Source organism: Homo sapiens, chromosome 15 (genome assembly GCF_000001405.40).
Source record: "Homo sapiens chromosome 15, GRCh38.p14 Primary Assembly".
Lineage (NCBI taxonomy): Eukaryota > Metazoa > Chordata > Mammalia > Primates > Hominidae > Homo > Homo sapiens.
The window spans coordinates 28,654,149-28,677,652 of NC_000015.10; the positions used below are offsets into that span (position 1 = coordinate 28,654,149).

At 44.5% G+C, this 23,504-nt stretch overlaps 1 pseudogene across 1 annotated transcript in view, besides 2 other annotated features; it reads left to right on the top strand.

Moving 5' to 3' along the window:
- The first annotated feature begins 293 nt into the window (after window positions 1-293).
- Window positions 294-23,504, top strand: part of HERC2P9 (HERC2 pseudogene 9) — a 30,823-nt pseudogene continuing 7,612 nt past the window's right edge. The window contains exons 1-12 of the transcript NR_036443.1: window positions 294-307; window positions 1,125-1,272; window positions 1,648-1,878; window positions 3,039-3,177; window positions 4,475-4,618; window positions 9,230-9,372; window positions 13,048-13,315; window positions 13,413-13,549; window positions 14,109-14,207; window positions 17,312-17,485; window positions 17,583-17,708; window positions 19,740-19,879. The product of NR_036443.1 is annotated as an HERC2 pseudogene 9 (transcript). The remainder of the gene's footprint in view (window positions 308-1,124; window positions 1,273-1,647; window positions 1,879-3,038; window positions 3,178-4,474; window positions 4,619-9,229; window positions 9,373-13,047; window positions 13,316-13,412; window positions 13,550-14,108; window positions 14,208-17,311; window positions 17,486-17,582; window positions 17,709-19,739; window positions 19,880-23,504) is intronic.
- Window positions 6,392-6,892: an enhancer, noted in NCBI's record as "OCT4-NANOG-H3K4me1 hESC enhancer chr15:28905686-28906186 (GRCh37/hg19 assembly coordinates)". NCBI's record gives its function as "activates a minimal SCP1, AML or CMV promoter by ChIP-STARR-seq in naive H9 embryonic stem cells {active_cell/tissue: H9 hESC(naive)}" and the evidence as "EXISTENCE:reporter gene assay evidence [ECO:0000049][PMID:30033119]".
- Window positions 11,903-12,403: an enhancer, noted in NCBI's record as "H3K4me1 hESC enhancer chr15:28911197-28911697 (GRCh37/hg19 assembly coordinates)". NCBI's record gives its function as "activates a minimal SCP1, AML or CMV promoter by ChIP-STARR-seq in primed H9 embryonic stem cells {active_cell/tissue: H9 hESC(primed)}" and the evidence as "EXISTENCE:reporter gene assay evidence [ECO:0000049][PMID:30033119]".

Sequence of the window (23,504 nt, forward strand, 5' to 3'; positions counted from 1 at the left end):
ACAAACTGCAATATATTTTAAAGGAGCTTATTGTAGAAAATAAGTTGATAAAAAAATAAGGATATATCTTTAGGGATTTGTCTTTAGGGACTTGTTACCAAGCATGTCTATTTTCCCTCCTGCAGCTTCTCCAAACAGGCTGGTGTACAGGGAGCAACACCGGAGCTGGTGCACGCTGGGGTTTGTGCAGAGCATCGCTCTCACGCTGCAGGTGTGCGGCGCCCTCAGCTCCCTGCAGTGGATCACGCTGCTCATGAAGGTCGTGGAAGGGCACGCACCCTTCACTGCCACCTCGCTGCAGAGGCAGGTAATGTGCTGCCAGGCAAAACCAGTTCCCTGAGAGAGGCCTCCATGTACTGAAGTTCCCTGCCCTCAGAGTCAGGGGCCTTTATTCAGTAACGAGTGCAGAAAGGGTCTAGAAGTGACAGGGTAGATTTTCTGGAGGCAAGGGGCAGAGGTCCTTGATAATTGGTAAGTTGCTAACCTTCAGTTTACCTGCTTTTCTCTTAAGTGGTAAATCCTGCAACTACTTACTCATCTGCTTCACAGAATTTGTAGTGTAATTGTCTTAAGAATTAAACTAAAAATAATTCTTTTTTAATTAAACACATGCATCTGTAATGTTGCTTTTTTCTAAAGTCCCTGACAATCCTAATCACTAATCAACTTGAGTGTAATTACCTGGCTGTAAAATAATGAATCTCAAAATTTTCACATGATTACTTGCATTATGAGAACAGAAAATAAAGAGAGGCTGGGCGCAGTGGCTCATGCCTGTAATCCCAGCACTTTGGGAGGCAGAGGCAGGTGTATCATGAGGTCAGGAGTTTGAGACCAGCCTGGCCAACATAGTGAAATCCTGTCTCTACTGAAAATCCAAAAAAAATGAGCCGGGCTTGGTGGTGAGTGCCTATAATCCCAGCTACTCAGGAAGCTGAAGCAAGGAGAATCGCTTGAACCTGGGAGGTGGTGGTTGTAGTGAGCCAAGACCGTGCCACTGCACTCCAGCCTGGGCGACAGTGCGAGACTCTGTCTCAAAAAAAAAAAAAAAAAGAAAATAACAATCTGTAGTTTCCTCATCAGATTTTTTTTAATGCTTGTCATTGTAAATTTTCTTTTATCAGATCTTAGCTGTGCATTTGTTGCAAGCAGTCCTTCCGTCATGGGACAAGACCGAAAGGGCGAGGGACATGAAATGCCTCGTGGAGAAGCTGTTTGACTTCTTGGGGAGCTTGCTCACTATGTGCTCCTCTGACGTGCCGTTACTCAGAGGTGAGTGGCCGTCTCCTTTCCCTGTGCCCTGGTGAAGAGCGGTGCAGCAGCTTCTCCCCTGGTTTCCTCCTCAGAGTCCATGCTGAGGTGGCGCAGGGTGTGCCCGCAGGCCTCGCTGACTGCCACCCACAGCAGCACACTGGTGGAGGAGGTGGTGGCACTGCTGCACACGCTGCACTCCCTGACTCAGTGGAATGGGCTCATCAACAAGTACATCAACTCCCAGCTCCGCTCCATCACCCACAGCTTTGCGGGAAGGCCTTCCGAAGGGGTGGGTTTGTGTTCTCAGAATTAATTTAGTTGAACAGTAAACCTGTAGGGATTGGGCAGCTCCGTGAGTGTCCCCGGTCGAGCTCGCTGTTTGGTCTGCACTAGGCCCAGTTAGAGGACTACTTCCCCGACTCCGAGAACCCTGAAGTGGGGGGCCTCATGGCGGTCCTGGCTGTGGTTGGAGGCATCGATGGTCGCCTGCGCCTGGGTGGCCAAGTTGTGCACGATGACTTTGGAGAAGTCACCATGACTCGCATCACCCTGAAGGGCAAAATCACCGTGCAGTTCTCTGACATGCGGACGTGTCGCGTTTGCCCATTGAATCAGCTGAAACCAGTAGGTGAACTTGTGCTTAGTTACTGCATGATAAGGGAAATTGACTTTACACTAGAACCGAGCACCAACATCAGCACTTGAAAGAACTTGATTCTGGTACTTGAAGTTTGCCTTCCAGGAAGCTGTGTGAGCTTGTGCTTCTGTGGTAAGCAGGGCCTGTCTCACAGGGCACTTAAAGCAGTGGTTCGTGTGTATTTCAGCCTCAGAGACACGAAGAGGGCTTTAGCAACCTAGAAGGTACCGTGCATCTATGAGGTAGTTCTAATTATTTTAAAATGTGAATTTATGAAGTTTACTTTTTATTCAACAACTCAAGTTTTAAAAAAACAAACATGTTTAAACACCTTTAAAAAAACAGCCTTTCTTCATGTAGAAAATGCTTAGTAGTTTTGAGTGACGTGACTTAATGTAGCAGCTACTGTCATCTTAATCTGTGAATCAAGGATGCACAGGGAGAAGGAGCCATTTACATTATTCTGATGTAACCCAAGTGCAATCTTACTATATATTCTTTTTCTTTTTTGTTTTGAGATGGAGTCTTGCTCTTGTCACCCAGGCTGGAGTGCAATGGCACAATGTTGTCGGCCCTCTGCAACCTTTGCCTCCCGGGTTCAAGCGATTCTCCTGCCTCAGCCTCCTGAGTGGCTGGGATTACGGTGTGTGCCACCACGCCTGGCTAATTTTGTATTTTTAGTAGAGATGGGGGTTTCACTATGTTGGCCGGGCTGGTCTCAAACTCCTGACCTCAGGTGATCCGCCCGCCTCGGCCTCCCAAAGTGCTGGGATTACAGGCATGAGCCACCGTGCCCGGCCTGACTATATTTTCTATAAAGCACTCTTTTTTATTATTATAGGAATATATACATGTTGTAGAAAACTTGAAGTATATAGAAAATATCTGAGAAGATAGTAACCACCACACTGATGTAATTATTGTTGACAGGTTTGTAAAGAAAAATTAATATAGATTATACTTATTATATGTGTAAATCTCTATCCTGCCTTTAATGTCATTTTAAAAAATGATTATTCTCAGCTATAAAAAGGCTTACGGGTATGTGTGGCATTTCAGGATTAAGCCCATGGTTTTGATGACTTTCAGAACGTTTCATTTGTTAGTCATATTGGCCACACTCTGACAGCTTCTGTGTCCTCTCCAGCTCCCTGCCGTGGCCTTTAATGTGAACAACCTGCCCTTCACAGAGCCCATGCTGTCTGTCTGGGCTCAGTTGGTGAACCTCGCTGGAAGCAAGTTAGAAAAGCACAAAATAAAGAAATCGACTAAACAGGCCTTTGCAGGTCAGTACATGGCGCTTCTTGATGAAATAGCTGCCATCTTAAACTCGTGTCGTTTGTACAGTGTTCTTTTATGAGTGAATTCACGGACATACCAAAGTCCTGGGGTTCACGTGGGCTCACCATTTGTTGAGTTGCGGTTGGGAATGTAACCCTGTGTTCGTGGTAATGAGTATTTTCGAGTCAGCCTTTGTCGCCATGTTCGGAGCCACACTTGAAGAACCCCATGGCTCACACCCTCTTCTCCGTGTCACCCTTTATCCCGGAAGAGAAGTCTGTTCACCTCTTCCCTCCTCCCCTCCATCCCAGGGCCCTGTGGCCCCGTCACCCTGTTGGACCATGGCTCACAGCCTGTTCTCTGCCGGATCCAGGGGCCTCTGTCCCGGAAGCGCCTGGCTTGCCTGTGACATTCAGGATGGCTAAGACTGTGACTGTAGCCTGGCTTGGCTTTGCCTTCCTTCGGGTCTAGAATGCGGCTCTCCTGAGTTTGTTTCCATGTTTCTAGGGAGCTCTTCTCTCTGCTCATTCTTTATGTCCTGGAAGTCTGTGTGGCTTCACCCATAACTATGGCATATTCTGCCCAGTCTTCTTGAGTTTTCTCCCCTCTTGCTCCCACAGACCTACGATTGCTGCTTCAGCATATATGATGTAAGCACTTTCAACTCTGGATCTCCCATTCACATCTCTGGTTGGAGGTGCAGTGCATGCAAATCACCACATGTCCGAAATTCAGCTGGCTTTCTCTAGTAGCTGCCGTTTCCCATCGTGGTGAATAAACCTGTCTGCCAGTTAGTTGAGCCAGTGTCCGAGCGGCACCTGCGGCCCTCCTTCCTTCCCACCCCATGCTCTCTGTGCTGCTTCTGCGGCCTCTGCTATCAGATAAGCCTTGGGCATTGCTGCGATCTTCATCAGTTAAAGAGCTAGTGGGGCTGACAGATTCTCTCAGAGGAGTCTTAGAAGAAGAGTGGAAGCGGCTGAAACTTCAGCAACTTGGGGAACATTTGATCATATTAATAGTAGCTAACATGGTTCTAACCGTGTTAAACCCATTGAATCCTGCGTCCTATCAAGTTAGGTGCCTGGAGAGCAGGGAAGGAAGACCCAGGAGGCAGAAGATGCTTACCCAGAAGCACCGAGTGTAACTCTGGGAAAGGCAAGCCCTTCGTCACGGACAGTGTGTGCGGTCGGCAGATTCCTGAAGGGCAGAGCGTTACTCGTCGCCATGTGGCGGAGGCTTGCTGCTGGCGAGGAGGGAGTCTGAGCAGGGCACGCCCTTCTCACTGAGTCTTTCCTTCCGCAGGACAAGTGGACCTGGACCTGCTGCGGTGCCAGCAGTTGAAGCTATACATCCTGAAAGCAGGTCGGGCGCTGTTCTCCCACCAGGATAAACTGCGGCAGATCCTGTCTCAGCCAGCTGTTCAGGAGACTGGAAGTGTTCACACAGGTGTCTTTTTAAAAAGTTCTTAAATCTTTATAAGAAGGGCAGTAGAAAGTAGACAAAGGAAGTGAATAATCAGTTCATAAAAATGGACATAGGTGGCTTATAAATGTACAAAACAGACACGTGGCCTGCCCAGCAACCACCAACTGTGAATAAAATTGTCATCGTCATCTTATAAGACAAGACTGAGGGCATCTGGTGGGTGGGGAGGGAAAAAGGTATTTTCATGCCTTTCCATTTAAAGTGTGCTGCATGGGTCAGCAAGACTGGTGGCACACAGGTATGTGTTAGAAATGCAGACTCCCAGGCCGCACCCCAGACCAAAGAAATAGAGCCTGTATTGTAACAAGATGAACCTAAGCTGGTTCTTCAAATGCGCGTAAAGCCGCACTCCATGAACACGCTGCTGCTGGGAATTTCAGTTGGTGTAGCCATCTAATGGGCATCTGAGGAAATGAGTTGGACTTTGAAATGCATAGATGTATGTATGTATTTATATACTTTGGCCCAGCAAGTCATTCTGTGGGACTTTATCACACGAAAAGGCATGTAAAGATAATGTATTCACCACCTGGGCACAGTGGCTCATGCCTGTAATCCCAGCACTTTGGGAGGCCGAGGCGGGCGGATCACGAGGTCAGGAGATAGAGACCATCCTGGCTAACACGGTGAAACCCCATCTCTGCTAAAAATACAAAACATTAGCTGGGCAAGGTGGCAGACGCCTGCAGTTCTAGCTACTCGGGAGGGTGAGGCAGGAGAATGGCATGAATCTGTGAGGCGGAGCTTGCAGTGAGCCGAGATGGCGCCACTGCACTCCAGCCTGGGCAACAGAGCAAGACTCTGTCTCAAAAAAAAAAAAAAAAAAAATTGGCGGGGCATAGTGGTGGCTGCATGTAATGCCAGCTACTTGGGAGGCTGAGGCAGGAGAATCACTTGAACCGGGGGTTGCGGAGGTTGCCGTGTGTGCGGATTGCAGGGTGCAGATTGTGCCACTGCACTCCAGCCTGGGTGACAGAGTGAGACTTCGTCTCAAAAAAAATAATAAATAAAAATAATGTATTCAACAGTGTCGTTATGGCCTCCTTTTTGGTATTGTTTTTGTATTGAAAAACTGTAGACACCAAAATACCCATTCTTATGTTGTGTATCCGTACAGTGTGATATCATGGTGCCATTCAAAATGATGGTACATGTATAGTCTTCCCTCAATATCCATGGGGATGAGTTCCAAGACCCCCAGTTATACCAGAATTCACTAATGCTTAAGGCCCTTCTATAAAATGGTGTAGTATTTGCATATAACCTATGCACATCCTCCGAAATACTTTAAAAATATAAATGATATATAGGCTGGGTGCGGTGGCTCACGCCTGTAATCCCAGCACTTTGGGAGGCTGAGGTGGGCAGATCACGAGGTCAGGAGATTGAGACCATCCTGGCTAACACGGTGAAACTCCATCTCTACTAAAAATACAAAAAATTAGCTGGGCGTGGTGACGGGTGCCAGTAGTCCCAGCTACTTGGGAGGCTGAGGCAGGAGAATGGCATGAACCCAGGAGGCGGAGCTTGCAGTGAGCCGAGATCATGCCACTGCACTCCAGCCTGGGTGACAGAGCGAGACTCTGTCTCAAAAAAATAAATAAATAAATAAAAATAAAATAAAATAAATGATATGTAAATAGTTGTTATTGCTATTCTTTTTAAAATTATATTTTAAAAAATTGTTTTATTCTGAATATTTTTGATGTGTGGTTTGTTGAATCTTTGGATGCAGAACCCATGGATACGGAGGGCTAGCTGTATATGTTTATTGCTGTGGAAACATGAAAACAATAAGTGAACAGAAAAGCACACTGCTATGTATATCCGTTTATAGATATGCCATAGTTATCTGTTTAGCAAAACAGTGACCCAGTAATCTTTGGTGGAATTTTGGCTGTCTTTATTTTCTTTATATTTCTCTATATTTAGTTTTCTAGAATGAGCTTGTGTTACTTTTAATAGAAAAAAACATTTTTTGATCTCCAACTATTGAAAGACATTATGCTAAGTCTTTTGCGGAGAAGTCCTTTTCTATGATCATTGCTCTCTAGGGTTTGGATGAGGAGAGGAAGTGAATGCAGATGGCTCTCTTTGTTCTCTGGGGCCAGGGGGCGGTGAGGCATGTGAGTGGTTCCACAGGCGTCTGGAGCCAGTGGCAGCTGAGCACTGGACGGGCAGCCTTTGAAGGCTGTGGCAGACAGATGCCAGCAGACAAGCACTCTGCTGGTGGTGGAGGCAGGAGGAGAGGAGTGAACGTGGTGAGTCTTTGGAAGCACGTTGAGCAGCTCTCCTCTTCTTGGAGCTCAGGGTTTTTCGATGAGTGGTGGGGCTGAAGCTAGATGGGCAGCTGACATCCTGTTACAGAGTACCTGGGAGACCAGGGTGAAACTTGAGGCCCACTTGGAAAGCTGTGGTAGGGGCCACATGGTAAGCATTGACCTTCGGGTGATACACCTGCTAGGAAGGTATAGGAGTATCTGAAACAGGAGATGACAGAGATGGAGAATTGCTCCTGCGTCAGGTGATGAGGGGGAAGGCATGAAAAGGGAAAGAAGGTTCTGGTGGAAGGAAGGTGCCATCCACTGTGATGGTGTAGTCTTGTAGATGATAACTTTATGGGGAACCAGCAAAAAGTGGAAGGTGACTGCTGTTTCAAGCTTGAGTTGAGGGAGGAATATTGAGTAGTGTGTTTGAAACAAATAAGTCCAGTAGAATGTGGAGTGTGTGCGTTTGCTTCTTAAGAGGAGAGGATGCTATGAAATTAATTTTAAACCTGCTGAGGATGAAAGAAATCAATTGAAAGTATAGAATCAATTAATAGTAGAGGTCGTAGGGAACATGAAGATTTCCCAGTTGTAGAGATTGGGAGATTGGAGCCTGGGAATTGGATTGGCTGTTCTGTTCTGCACTCAGCCCGATGAGCAATTACAGCAGACCTGAATCAGGATGATCAAGTCTGTGCTTTGGGCCGAGCAGGGACTCCGAACAGAGCTAGATTGACAAAACTGCCGTGCACCTGTTTTTGTAAGTTTTTATGGGAACACAGGCACACCACTTGTTTACAGATCGTCTCTGGATGCTTTTGCTCTGCAATGGCAGAGCTGAGTAGTTGGGACAGAGACTGTACAGCCCATCAGCCTAAACTATTTACTCTCTGGCCCTTTAAGAGAAAGATTTCCAGCTCCTGGTCTAGTTAGTTGAAATTGTCACTGAAGAAAACCAGCACATGCAAATGCTGTGAGTACCTGGATGAGTACCTAGATGTGTGAAGTGGGCTTGAGCGCAGTGGATCTCCCTGGGGCTGTGTCAAACAGAGTCCTAAAGGCTGCACCTAAAGCTACTCATAACAGACAAAAAGCCATCACCCTGAGCACATGACACATTTGGAATTGGGGTCACTTAATGATCTCAACAAGGCTTAGCTGGAAAAGCTACAGCTAGAAATATGCACATGGGATGTGTCTGTGTCAGGGGTTACTGAAGCCGTGAGTGAACATGAAAGAGAGTGTGTAGGTCAGGCATGGTGGCTTACGCCTGTAATCCCAACACTTTGGGATGCCGAGGCGGGTGGATCAGGAGTTGGAGACCAGCCTGGCCAACATGGTGAAATCTAATCAACAGCCTGGCCCCATCTATACTAAAAATACAAAAATTAGCTAGGCGTGGTAGCATGTGCCTGTAGTCCCAGCTACAGGGAAGGCTGATGCAGGAGAATCGCTTGAGCCAGGAGGCAGAGGTTGCAGTTTGCCAAGATTGTGCCACTGCACTCCAGCCTGGGCAACAGAGTGAGACTCCATCTCAAGAAAAAGAGAAAGAATCAGACCAAGTGCAGAAATCTGGGAAGGAGCATTTGCTGGCTCTAAGAGACAGATGCACTAATGAAGGACAGAGACCAAAAGCAGGCAGTGAAAGTGGTTTAGAGTCTAGTTCCTTTTTTTTTTTTTTTTGAGATGGAGTCTCGCTCTGTTGCCAGGCTGGAGTGCAGTGGCGTGATCTTGGCTCACTGCAACCTCCAACTCCCTGGTTCAAGCAATTCTCCTGCCTTAGCCTTGCGAGTAGCTGGGATTACAGGCACGCACCACCATGCCCAGCTAATTTTTTTTTTTTTTTTTTTTTTTGAGACCGAGTCTTGGTCTGTCGCCCAGGCTGGAGTGCAGTGGCGTGATCTCGGCTCACTGCAAGCTACGCCTCCCAGGTTCATGCCATTCTTCTGTGTCAGCCTCCCAAGTAGCTGGGACTACAGGTGCCCACCACCATGCCCGGCTAATTTTTTTGTGTTTTTAATAAAGATGAGGTTTCACTGTGTTAGCCAGGATGGTCTCGATCTCCTGACCTCGTGATCCACCCGCCTTGGCCTCCCAAAGTGCAGGGATTACACGCGTGAGCCACCGCACCCAACCTAGAGTCTAGTTTTTGTTCGATGTCTGAACCTTGAAGATTTTGGTTTTCTATCACATAATGAGGCAGAAGTCATACCTGATTTAACATGCTTAATGCATTTTCTTTAATAGTAAAGTGGTGTTCGCAGTTGAAAATAGAATCTTACACATATTTTGTTTTTAAATTCAGATGATGGAGCAGTGGTATCACCTGACCTTGGGGACATGTCTCCTGAAGGGCCGCAGCCCCCCATGATCCTCTTGCAGCAGCTGCTGGCCTCGGCCACCCAGCCGTCTCCTGTGAAGGCCATATTTGATAAACAGGAACTTGAGGTACAGCCATGCAGCCTTGACAGTTTTTAATCCACAGCACTAAATTGTGAACACTTTTTTTCTAGATGTATATTTTCTTAAGGATCTATTCTGAATGTTAAATGATAGTACGCAAATAATTCTAATGATTCATTGGGGTTTAACCATGTTTGTGCATAGTCTGCAGAACATTATAATACTAAAGACTGAGAGGGTTGAAGTTTAACCTTATTTTGGGTTTGTGTAAATTGTGAAAAAATATTAACTAGATGCAGCATGGGTTAAACGCTCACATCTTCATGAAGGGATCTTTTTCCAGGAAGTAGAATTATTCAAAGAGGCTCGTCAGGACTCTGGCAGCCGTTTGTCTGTTTCATTCACTCAGGAGCCTCTTGGGGGTGCTCTGGTGCCGCCAGCCTCTCCGCTCTCTCCATGCTGTGGAGCAGGTGAGGGCAGCAGCGAGGCACAGGGTCAGGGCTACGGGACGTTCGCATAGAGGAGGCGACGTGATTGAGTGTAAGAGGGATGGGAGCTTTCATGGCTGGCAACATAGAGGATTAGAGATGTTCATTCCAAAATCTTTCTTGCTGTGTAATACATTAAAAATCTGGACAAAATATCAGAGACAAAAATAAAACTATCAGTACTCAGTTTGGCAATCAGAAATTACCCTAACAGAAACCCTCAGATAGCAGGGCCCTTCTGGGAGCAAGGGTCCAGATGAGGCAGCCACTGCCTTGGACAGGTGGGAGGCCTCCCCCAGTCCTAGAACGAGCTGGAAAGATGGTGGGGGTGCAAAGGGAGAAAGCAAGAAACGGGTGTGGGCAGGAAGGGAGGAGGTTGGCCATGAGCTCTTCTGAACTCCAGCTTCTTCTCAGGTCTGGGAACCTCCGAGGTGAAGGTTCATTTTAAAGGGCCTGGTTGTGTTTCCAGTCTCCCTGGCAGAGATCAAAAGACGCTGAGCAACTTGAGAGCACGTGGGGCGGTGCACGTGCTCCCTGCAGTCATGCTGGGAGATGCCGAGTGTGAACACCTAGAAGGCCGTGTAGAGTTGTTCTTCAGGAACTGAGAAGGACTGTTGTACAAAAAAAGACCTTCCGCTGTTTTGTCTCCATGGATTCCGATGGAGAGTCGTTGTTCTTATCTCTTCTTTTGTATGAAATGTCTGTTTTCTCTGGTTGCTTTTCGTATTTTGTGTTATCTTTGGTTTTCTGCAGTTTCCCTAAGCTGGGCTCATGTATACAATGGTGGCACACCCCGCCCACCCCACCGTCCTCCTTGAAATTTATTTAAGCTGCTTGCATCTTTGGCTTGATTTTTGTTCCCCTACCAAATTTGGAAACTTTTGACTGCTGTTTTTTCCCCCTGCCTTGCTCTTTTTGTTCTTTTCTGGAAATACTATTATACATCTGTTACACTGTTAGTGAGTTTCCTTTTATGACTTTAATAGAAAGTCTTTCTTCTCCTTGTTAGTAGCTTGGTTAGTTTGTCTTGATCTGTTTGAAAGGTCAAGATGCTTTGCTTTGTTGGGCCTAATCTGTTGTTATATCCATCCAAGACATACTTTATTTTATATTTCTCACATCTCTTATTTCCATTTGGCTCTCATTTAATAGTTTTATATCTCTTCTGACAGTTCCTTTCTTCATCCTTTAAGTCTATCTTTTTTTTTTTTTTTTTTTTTTTTTTTTTTTTGGATGGAGTCTTGCTCTGTCACCAGGCTGGAGTGCAGTGGCGTGATCTCAGCTCACTGCAACCTCTGACTCCTGGGTTCAGGTGATTCTCCTGCCTCAGCCTCCCGAGTAGCTAGGACTACAGGTGCCTGCCACCATGCCTGGCTAATTTTTGTATATTTAGTAGAGATGGGGTTTTACCATGTTGGCCAGGCTGGTCTCGAACTCCTGACCTCATGATCTGCCCGCCTCAGCCTCCCAAAGTGCTGGGATTACAGGTGTGAGCCACCGTGCCTGGCCAAATCTATCTTTTGCTGTACATTTTAAAACATATTTCTGATAGTTATGTTGAATTTCTTGTTTGCTAATTCTAACATCTGCCCACCTGTTGGTCTGCTGCTCTTTGCAGTTTTTTTCCCTTGATTATAGTCAGTTATTGGTTGTTGTCCTTCACATATGAGAATTTTTATTTCATTCTGGATTCTTTGGACGCTACATTGTATTGGCTCTGGGTTCTGCCTCCTCTGGAGAATGGGGAGTTTTCTTCTCACAGGCAGTTCAGTACCTGGCAGTCCTCCTTGATCCTGAGGTGGCTTGGTGCCAGGCTTTCTAATGATTTTTTATTTGCCCTTAGCCCTGGTTGTGGATCCTTAATTCTCAAGGATTTAGAATCTCTTCTGGGCGTCACTGGAAGCCTTGACATTCTCCTCCCCACCTCTAGTTGGTTGAGCTTGAGCCTCAGATGCTGTCCTGGCCCTGGGCAGCTGGGGAGCCCCTGCAGCCTTCCAGCGGTCCCTTTGTGCCGAGCGCAGGCTCTTCAGTGGTGCTTCAGTTTAGATTCAGCTGTAGATTTGCGGGTAGTCCGTCCGCATATTTCGTGGTTTTCCCTCTGTGGTTTCTTTCTCAGGCGGGCTTTCCCTCACATTCTGGTTGCTCTGGCAGGCCGGGACCCCAGCCCCTGCAGTGCAGGAAGGTGCGCCGTCTGTGGTTAAATGCGCGTCTTACCTGCAGGCTTCTCGGTGTCAGGGGTTGTGCTTGTTTTATTGCTGATTGCGTCAGCTGTTCTCCAGTGCCCTCAAGCAGTTTTAAAAAATATTTTATCCAGAGTTCATGATTATTATCAGCCAAGGGTTAGTCCAATGCACCCTAACTCCCCATTATCAGAACCAGAACTCTTGGCTCAATCTGGCTCTGAATTTTAAACTTTTAGGATGAAACCTGTCACTTCCAAGTTACCCAGACTTCGCTGCAAAACCCTAGGCTTTGATACTTCCTGAGCACCGGGGGGCTCCACAGTGTCCTCGGTTTCTTCCTGATTCCTTCCTCACATGCTCCGTTTAACAAAATAGCAAGTCAGTGCTATGAGAGCAGCTGGGGAGGAGGACCAGGGAGTTACAGACAGATCAGGGAAGTGCTATTTGTGCTGTAGGTGGGGAGTTCCCAGCTGCAGAGACTGGCAGTTTAGATGTTCACTGATTCATTGCAGTGTGTTTCCCAACTAATACTCTTTTATTTCTCTTACTTTTTAATACCTTGTTTAACCTCACTGTGGTTATTTAACCCTTGAATAGTTGAGGGTTGTTTTAATGGTACATGAGAGTCCTGTGTCATTTCTGGCCTGTCTAAAACACAGGTGCCTGTGGCCGCCACCACAGTGCCTGGTTAAGGCAGGGGGAATGCCTTTCTCCCTGCTCCTTCAAGCCCCTGTGACTGTTCGCTTGGGGCTGTAATGAAGTTTTCCTTAATGGACATTGATACTTGGCTAATTTAGTAGGCTCTCTGTCTGCTGAAACAGGCAAGTTATTTTACCCCCACGTATTTTCTCTGCATTAAACCGTGAAACTTGGCTTTGTCATTTTCTAACATGTTTTAGGAACTCATTGAAAAACACACATGTGAATGCGGGCTTTCTAGACTTGCATACTGCAGTTCACAGTAGAAGGCCATCACCCCTGTGTTCCTAGACTGTGTAAGCTAGCTGAGGGCACTTCCCAAATCTCCCAGGACCCTCTTGTCTGCCCAGGCTGCTGCACTGGCCGTTTGCCAGTGCTTGGCTGTGGAGTCCACTCACCCTTCGAGCCCAGGATTTGAAGACTGCAGCTCCAGTGAGGCCACCACGCCTGTCGCCGTGCAGCACATCCGCCCTGCCAGAGTGAAGAGGCGCAAGCAGTCGCCCGTTCCCGCTCTGCCGATCGTGGTGCAGCTCATGGAGATGGGATTTTCCAGAAGGAACATCGAGTTTGCCCTGAAGTCTCTCACTGGTGCTTCCGGGAATGCGTCCGGCTTGCCTGGTACTTCGTTTTCCTGGCCTCTGCTTGTACGTGTGTGGGTTCCCGCTTCAGGGCTGTTGACTCACAGTGGCTGGTGTGCTGTGTGTGCCTCTCTTAGGTGTGGAAGCCTTGGTCGGGTGGCTGCTGGACCACTCCGACATACAGGTCACGGAGCTCTCAGATGCAGACACGGTGTCCGACGAGTATTCTGACGAGGAGGTGGTGGAGGACGTGGATGATGCCGCCTACTCCATGGTCAGTGCCTCCCATGTGACCGCCCGCACCTGGGCCGCTGTCCGTCTAGCGCTCTAACAGTCTTACACCTTGGCTTTCTCTGTCCCTTGAAAGAATTAACTATATCTACTGTGGACTGTTTCATAAAACCAACCTATGGTGTTGCCGGGCACAGAACAAAGCTGTGTTTCACTACTGAAGGGATGATTGGGTTTCTATATCATAATTACTTTTAGCTTCAGAACAGACCCTTGTTCAAACATCTCATGATCTTCGCTAGCCATTAGAGGATATTTTATTAAAATACCATGTTTTGACACATCAGTTTCTGACCTGAGTAAATTGTTCATAGGATTAATTTGGAAGTGCCTTGGAAATTTTGTATACTTGTAGCTTTTGAGATTCATTTCTGCCTACTATGCTACTGCTATTAGTCTTTTTTAAATGAAGATTTTTATAGAGAAAATAAAGGATTTCATCCTTTACTTTTTAATATTATAGATTTCACAGACATTTCTTTTTGAGTAGATTTATTGAGTTCTCCTTTTTTTTTTTCTTTGAATGTATTTATTTCTTGTAGTCTACTGGTGCTGTTGTGACGGAGAGCCAGACGTACAAAAACCGAGCTGGTTTCTTGGGTAATGATGATTATGCTGTATATGTGAGAGAGAATATTCAGGTGAGTAATTGTCTTAAGCTGGAGCCTCGATCCGTTTTTCACTCAGCAAATATCTGGGTATGTCCTATATGCCAAACATCAGTGGACAGAGGCCCCTGCCCTCAGGGAGCCTGCCTTCTGGTGCTGGAAGACATACCTGACCAGTGAGCTCATGGTACACTAGAAGGTGCTGTGTACCCTGGAATGAGAGAGAGCAGACTACAGTAAAGGGGTAGGAGTGAGGGCACAGTCCAGGGATCGGGATCTGCAATGAGAAGGTGACATGGGTGCAAAGCCTACAGGGTGTGAAGGGTGGCTGAGCAGGATGGGCACCCAGACAGAGGCTGCTGTGGCTGCCCCGGTGTAGCCAGAGGACAGAGGGGCAGATGGGCTCAGGGGCAGCCGGAGAGCACAAGTGGCCTGTCCACGGTGGACATGGCGCAGAGATGGCTGTTTTCTACTAGCCCCACTTGTGACACTTCCTACATACCTTTCCTTGTTTTTCTTATGTAATTCTCATTGCCATCAAACTTTAAAAATCTAATTATGTTTTATATAGTCCTTTATCTACTTTAAATCATTTCTTGTCCTAATTCTCTTGTTTTAGTATATTTTAGAGAAAATCCCCCAAATCATCTCATTTCACCTGTATATATGTCAGTGAGTATCACTAATAAAGAATCTTAACATAATGACATTTCTGTTTACCAGCATTACCTAACAAAATAAATAATAATTCCTTAATATCATCTCATATCTAACGCTTGCTTGTAGTTTTCCAGTTTTCTCAGAAATGGCTTTAATGGTTAGTTTTTGAACTTGGATAAACCAAGATTGTATGCCTTATCTACATTTGGTTGATGGATCTTTGAAGTCTATTCCAAGCTAGAGTGGTTCCCCCTTGTCTTAGCTCAGTTGGCTATAACACAGTACCATAGACTGGCAGCTTCAACAACAGACATTTATTTCTCATGGTTCTGGAGGCTGGAAATCCAAGATCAAGGTACCAGCTTGGCTGGATTCTGGTGATGGCCCTCTTCCTGGCTTGTAGGTGGCTACCTTTTTTTTTTTTTTTTTTTTTTTTGAGACAGAGTCTCGCTCTGTCACCCAGGCTGGAGTGCAGTGGCGTGATCTCAGCTCACTACAAGCTCCGCCTCCCGGGTTCCTGCCATTCTCCTGCCTCAGCCTCCTGAGTAGCTGGGACTACAGGTGCCCGCCACCATGCTCAGCTAATTTTTTTGTATTTTTAGTAGAGACGGGGTTTCACCATGTTAGCCAGGATGGTCTCGATCTCCTGACCTCGTGATCTGCCCGCCTTGGCCTCCCAAAGTGTTGGAATTATAGGCATGAGCCACCGTGCCCGGCCAGGTGGCTGCCTTCTTGCTGTGTCCTCCTGTGGACGTGGGGCTGGGGATGGGGGGAGCTGGAGCTAGCAGGGGAGCACTGGTGTCTTTTTTTTTTTTTTTTTTTTTTTTTGAGACGGTGTTTCGCTCTTGTTGCCTAGGCTGGAACGCAGTGGCACGATCTTGGCTCACCACAACCTCTGCCTCCCGGGTTCAAGCGATTCTCCTGTCTCAGCCTCCCAAGTATCTGGGATTACAGACATGCACCACATGCCTGGTTAATTTTATATTTTTAGTAGAGACAGGGTTTATTCATGTTGGTCAGGCTGGTCTCGAACTCTTGACCTCAGGTGATCCACCTGCCTTGGCCTCCCAAAGTGCTGGGATTATAGGCGTGAGCCACCATGCCCATCCTGGAGTCTCTTCTTATAAAGACCCTAATCCTGTTGTGTCAGAGCCCCACTCTTATGACCTGATTTTACCTTAATGACTTCCTTAGAGGCCCCATCTCCTAATACTGCCACATTAGGAGTCGGGACTTCATGAATTTTGCGGGGGGGATACAAACATTCATTTCATAGTAACCCTCCTTCTCCCTTCCTCTCCTTTCATGCTATTTATTTGTGGCTGAAACCATGTCCTCCAAATGTCTTACAGTCTGCATTTGGAGGTGGCTTCCTTGTGGCTAACATCTTCCTCTCTCCCTGTTTCTCCAATGCAGTAGGAGTTAGGGTTGGAGGGTGATTGGACCAGGCTGAATCTCAGGCAGGAAGCTTCATAGGCATGTACTCCCTCCGGCCCCATCTCAACAGGCAAGCAGGTTTGGGTGGGTTAGGTCTTGTCAGCCTGCTCCTTCCTTGATGACATTCTGTATTAATTGTCCATCTCATAGCTCCAGCAGGCATTAGTGTCATCACCTAGACCTATCATTAGGGGCTGCACCATAGTGATTTTCTAACTTCATCTTCTCTGAGTTCATTAGCTGGAATTCTCTTCTGTGAAAAAAAGCTTTGTTATTAATCTTGGTTGCTCTTGATAATACAGGGAGACTTCACCAGTTTTCACAATGATGCATTGGTGTTCTGATATGTATAAAGATGACCAGGAAGCTTTGTTTTCCTTATTATCATGATGACCAATCCATTGGCTTTTAGGGTGTGATGTCTCCACTGTTATATTTTTGATGATCAGGGAATCCTTTTGAGTAATCTTTGAAAGCTCCCTTCCTTTATGATACAAGTTGATCCAGCCTCTTCCTGTATATTTCCTGCCTGAGACACAAAGCCAGACAGTGTTCTAAAGAGTTTCTCTTCCCTTTATCATTAAATAATACTTAGAATGCACTCTGGGTGCTAGATGAAATTCTTTTTTTTTTTTTTTTTTTTTTTTTTTTTTTTTTTTTTTGAGATAGGGTCTTACTTTGTCACTCAGGCTGGAGTGCAGTGGTATGATCTTGGCTCATTGTAACCTCCACCTTCCAGGCTCAAGCAATCCTCTCAACTCAAGTCTCCCAAGTAGCTGGGACCACAGGCATGTGCCATCACATCTGGCTAATTTTTGTATTTTTGGTAGAGGTGGGTTTCGCCATGTTGCCCAGGTTTGTCTCAAACACCTGAGCTCAAGTGATCCTCCCACCTCAGCCTCCCAAAGTGCTAGGATTACAGATGTGAGCCACCGTGCCCAGTTGAAATTCTTTATTAAGAGTAGAGTAATACTACTTATCATGGCTCATTTCACCTGTGTACATGATGGACTGGATCTCCAATTTCATTTTAATTCTAGGTGGGAATGATGGTTAGATGCTGCCGAACATACGAAGAAGTGTGCGAAGGTGATGTGATGTTGGCAAAGTCATCAAGCTGGACAGAGATGGATTGCATGATCTCAATGTGCAGTGTGACTGGCAGCAGAAAGGGGGCATCTACTGGTTTAGGTACATTCATGTGGAACTTATAGGTGAGCACATTCTTTGTTTAGTGCTTTTACTTTTTCTTAGAGACAGAATTCCCATAAATGAATACTGATTATAATGATTTGTTATTGAAATCTGTAGGCTATCCTCCACCAAGAAGTTCTTCTCACATCAAGATTGGTGATAAAGTGCGGGTCAAAGCCTCTGTCACCACACCAAAATACAAATGGGGATCTGTGACTCATCAGAGTGTGGGGGTTGTGAAAGGTAATATCATCTGGGTAATTAAATTCCTGATGTTAACTTTTCATTAATGCATATGTACTTAGTATTTCTTTTTGTTCAAGCACACAAAACAGAAAACAAGTGTGAAGAAAGAGATAGAGTGTTCCTTTGCTTGTCAGTGCCTTCTGCCAAAGGCCACAAAGGAACTCACCTGCAGTGAAACAATCAGATTTATTAATATTAACTCATTGCAGTACAGGAGAACACACACCTTGGGGAATGGGTGTCTCCATCAGAGGGAGTGAGCGAGGACTAATGAAGTTTATGTTGGGTATTTGGGGGAGGGGTCGAGAAAGCAGGGGTAATCCTAAAACAGGATGTCTTAATAAATTTACCTAGCAGGCAGAAAGAATGGAGCCATGCTAACGTCATGATTGGTAAGGAAGCAGTCATTCATATCACCAGGATAGGGGACTGTGTGGTTGTTTGTGGTTTGGATTAGACTCAACTTTAATCACACATGGTTAAGGAGGGGTTTTGGTTGTGCCTTGATTCATCAGTCACAGAGTGGCCTTATCTGATGTTCGTGTTCTGTAAACTTGTCCTGTCATTTGTTCTGTGAAATGGCCTAACATTGACATTAACAGGCCAGCTCCTGACTGTCAGGACTGCTTTTTCTTTCTCCTCCCCTGATCCTCAGGCTGGAGTGCAGTGGCGCCATCTTGGCTCACTGCAACCTCCGCCCCCGGGTTTAAGCAGTTCTCCAGTCTCAGCCTCCAGAGTAGCTGGGATTACAGGTGCCCACCACCGTGCCTGGCTAATTTTTGTATTTTTCATAGAGATGGCGTTTCCCCATGTTGGCCAGGCTGGTCTCGAACTCCTTACCTATTGATCCGCCCACCTCGGCCTCCCAAAGTGTTGGGATTACAGGCGTGAGCCACCATGCCTGGCTCTTTTTCATGCTGTATAAAAATTTAGGACTGAATTTAAGAAATGGAAATGTGCTAATGATGGAAATTAGGAACTGGAAACAATTCTCAGATTATATTTAATATGATACTGTTGAGATTCCAAATCAAATCCGTGGCACACTTTGAAAGGCACACTATGTCCGTTTTAACAGTTGCATGAGAAATAAGTATGTGTATAGTTTTATAAACTCTTGATGCATAAAGAGATTATTTGTTTGTTCGTTTGAACCTTGTGGAAGCCTCTCTTTTCATCAGATCGCTTAGAAAATGGCCACAGTTGGTGGTTCCCCAGTGGTGAGAGGTTCCTAGAGCTTCTCATGTTACATAAGAACAAGTGGATTATTTAATATTTTACTTTAAACATTTTTCTTTGCTTAAGAGATTGTTAAAATATTTGCAAATCAAAACAAGACAAATTTTAAAAATAAGAATTTGGTTTCTTTGTTTTGAGTGACACGTTGCTCTTATCAAAGGATGAAAGAAGTCTTCATGTTATTAATGTGGTTTTTATTCCCTGAGATACCAAAGGTATTGTATGGAATTGTTGACTTGGTGTAATTAGAAACCAAAATGTCCTATTTTAAACCTAATGCAAAAGTAAGGAATGTAGTTTACAATGAACCTCCATGTGCTCATTACCTGGCTTTAACGATTGTCGCCTCATGGCCAAAATTATTCATGCTCCCTTCTTGTGATTATTTTGAAACCAGGCGCTGACATCATGTATTAGTTCATCCATAAGCATTTTAGTACCTATCTCTAAAAAATAGACTCTTTGTAAAAAACAAATAACTACAATGTAGTATGACATGGCTAGGTGCAGTTTTAAGTTCAGGTTTTTATTGGTGAAGAGGAAGATGGATCAGGTGATTTTTGTTGTGTCCTGGCTTTCAGTGCCAATGGAAAAGATATCATTGTTGACTTTCCCCAGCAGTCTCACTGGACTGGGTTGCTATCAGAAATGGAGTTGGTGCCCAGTATTCATCCTGGGGTTACGTGAGTTATTTTTATGATTGCTAGATTTGCTTTGGGACGAATGGTTTTCTGTTGAATTAAGTTTAATAAATGACCTTTCTTAACTCAGTTGCTATTTTACAAATAGGTGTGATGGATGTCAGATGTTTCCTATCAATGGATCCAGATTCAAATGCAGAAACTGTGATGACTTTGATTTTTGTGAAACGTGTTTCAAGACCAAAAAACACAATACCAGGCATACATTTGGCAGAATAAATGAACCAGGTATGGCAGAATGTTTATATTCTCTCTTCCACCAAATATTAATGAAATACTTATTGTGGACCACAGTGTACTGGAATTTGTTATTTTAAGGTTCCTTTGCATATGGTAATTCTGTAGAGTGAGTACAGTGAGACGGAAGTGACGGTCCTACCCGCTGATGACTGGCTGGCTTTTTAAAAAAATCAGGATGGGGTATCGGGGAAGAATTAGAATAACTAGGCTTGTTTGCTTGTTTTTCCATAAAGAAACATTAAAAGAATCTCAAGAAACTAGTAAGTGTTTAGTTGCGTGGCATGTGGAATTGGTTAGATGGAGAGTGAGTGTTTTAATTTGTATACCTTTTATTATATTTTTCATTGTGGCAAAATATATTTAACTTAAAATTAGCCACTTAGTCATTTTCTAAGTTTATAATTCAGGGTATTAAGTACCTTAAGTACAGTGTTGCACAACCATCACAACTTTCTCTTACCAAAACTTTTCACCACTCCGATCAGAAACTCTGTACCCATTAAGCAATTTAACTGCCCTACTTCCCCTTACCCCAACCCTGGTAACCTTGAATCTAACTTTGGTCTCTACGAATATGACCACTCCAGACATCTCATCTAGATGGAACCATGTAAGATTTATCCTTTTGTGTTTAGCATAATGTCTTCAAGCTTCATCCGTATTGTAGCATGTGTCAGAACGTCATCCTTTTTAATGGCTGAATAATATTCCACTGTATGCATATATCACTTTTCTTCTTTGTGAGATAGAGTCTCACTCTGTTGCCCAGGCTGGAGTGCAGTGGCGCAATCTTGGCTCACTGCAACCTCCGCCTCCTGGGTTCAAGCAGTTCTCCTGTCTCAGCCTGCTGAGCAGCTGGGATTACAGGCCGGTGCCACCATGCTCAGCTAACTTTTCTACTTTTTTTTTTTAATTATTATTTTTTTGAGACAGAGTCTCACTCTGTCTATAAGGAGTGTATGTGTTATATACATTTTTAGTTTTAGTAGTTACTGAAGATATTAATTATAACATCTATTTTTGACTGATTTAAATCTATTATTATTTAGTAAAGTCTCCTCCTAAACAATGCAAAGACCTTAGTTCTCTTTAACATCATTTATCTTCATTCTGATTTATATGTTCTTAACATATTTTAATTTTTAATTTTTTTTTTTTTGAGACGGAGTCTCACTCTGTCGCCCCGGCTGGAGTGCAGTGGCGCGATCCTGGCTCACTGCAACTGACACCTCCCGGGCTCAAGCGATTCTCCTGCATCAGCCTCCTGAGTAGCTGGGATTATAGGCTCCTGCCACCACGCCTGGCTAATTTTTGTATTTTTAGTGGAGGTGAGATTTCACCATGCTGGCCAGGCTGCTCTTGAACTCCTGACCTCAGGCGATCCACCCACCTCAGTCTCCCAAAGTGCTGGGGTTATGTGCATGAGCCACCACGTCCAGCCAAAATTTTATACATTTTATACAAATATATATCTAACAGAACTATCGAAGACATTCTTTTATGCACATAGAAAATGTTCATAAAATCCAGTCATATGCTAAGTGGGTCATATGCTCAAACAAAATTTCAAAAAAAGTCAAAGGATCAGCCAGGCGCAGTGACTCATGCCTGTTTTTGTTTTTGTTTTTGTTTTTGTTTTTTGAGACAGAGTCTCGCTCTGTCACCCAGGCTGGAGTGCAGTGGCACGTGATCTCAGCTCACTGCAAGCTCCGCCTCCTGGGTTCTCGCCATTCCTCCCGCCTCAGCCTCCCGAGTAGCTGGGACTACAGACGCATGCCACCATGCCAAGCTAATTTTTCGTATTTTTAATAGAGATGGGGCTTCACCGTGTTAGCCAAGATGGTCTCGATCTCCTGACCTCATGATCCATGCCTGTAATCCCAGCACTTTGGGAGGCCGAGGCAGGTGAATCAGGAGTTCAGGAGATCGAGACCATCCTGGCTAACGCGGTGAAACCCTGTCTCTACTAAAAGTACAAAAAATTAGCCGGTGTGTTGGCGGGCACCTGTAGTCCCAACTACTTGGGAGGCTGAGGCGGGAGAATGGCGTGAACCCAGGAGGCGGAGCTTGCAGTGAGCCGAGATCGTGCCACTGCACTCCAGCCTGGGCGACAGAACAAGACTACGTCTCAAAAAACAAAAAAAGCAAAAAAACAAGTCAAAGGATCAAACAATACATGCAGGGCATATGACGATTTTATGTAGTCAATATTCATTTAGATTTTTCTGCATACTTTGTAATTTCTCTCCACTTTTTTCTTCCTCTTTAATTTTCCATCTGTACTGTTTTTCTCCTGCCTGAAAATCCCCTTAATATTTTTAAAAATGTGTCTTTGTTGGTTACAAATTATCTATTTTTGTATGTCTGAAAATGTCTTTATTTCTCCTTTATTTTTGAAAAGTCTTTTTGCTAGGTGTTTTCTTTCAGCACTTTAAAAATAGTATTCCATTGCAATTTGGTTTATATTATTTCTCCTGAAGTTGGATGGAAGTCTAATTGTGGTTCATTTTATTTTTCCTTCGTCTGCTTTTCAGAGAGTCTTTTTGTTTTCATCTTGCACAGGTTTTACATGTGCATGGAGATGTTTATCTTTCTTGGGGTTGGTAGGGCTTCTGGGGCATGATATCTGTTGTCTGTTTTGGAAAATTCTGTCTTTCAGTATTTCTTCACATTTTGCCTCTGCTCTATTCTCTTTTCTATCTTTTTGGGGGGACTCTTCTTCCACTTGTGTTAGGCCTAACCTCTGTCCTGCAGATCTTTTACCTTCTTGTTATGTTTTCTAAACTTTTGCTCCTCAGTTCTTCATTCCAGATATTTTTACTTTCTCTTCAGCTGAGTTCAGTGTGTTCTAAACTTACTCATTAAGTTCTTAATTTTAAATATTGGATTTATCAGTTCTAGTCTTTCTATTTTATTTTCAGTAGTTTTTGGTTCTCTGCTGAAATATTATCTTTTTGAACACAGTAAGCATATTTATTATACTAAAGTCTGTGTCTTCTGACTCCAATATATGGAGCCCTTGTGGGTCTGTTTCTCTCCTATCATTTCTGGTCATTTTTAGTCACTTTTTTTGCCTCTTCATGTGTCATTATGTACTGGACACCTAACAAATAAAGAGAAACACTATGTTCATGGGTTAGAAGACTGAATACTGTGAATCCATCCTTGCACATTGACTTACAGAATTAATGCAATCCACATCAAAATCCCAAGCAAGCGGTTTTATAAAAACTGACAAGCTCATTTTAAGTCATATGGAAATGCAAAGGGCCTGCAACAGCCAAAATATATTTGAAAAAGAACAAAGCTAAAAAACTGTTGCAACCTGAGTTCAGGCCTTTTATAAAGCTGTAGTAATCAAGACAATGTGGCATTGCCACCAAAATACACAAATAAATCAATGAAACAGTACTGGGAGTCCAGAAATAGATCCATACATCCATAGACAACTGATTTCTGACAAAGGCAAAAGGCAATTCAGTAGGAAAAGCGTAGTTTTTCAACAAATACAACTGAAACAACTGGACAATCATGCCCAAAAAAGCCTTTCAATCTGAACCTCCCACTATATATAAAATTTAATCAACTGGTCATAGATATACCTGTCTAAAAC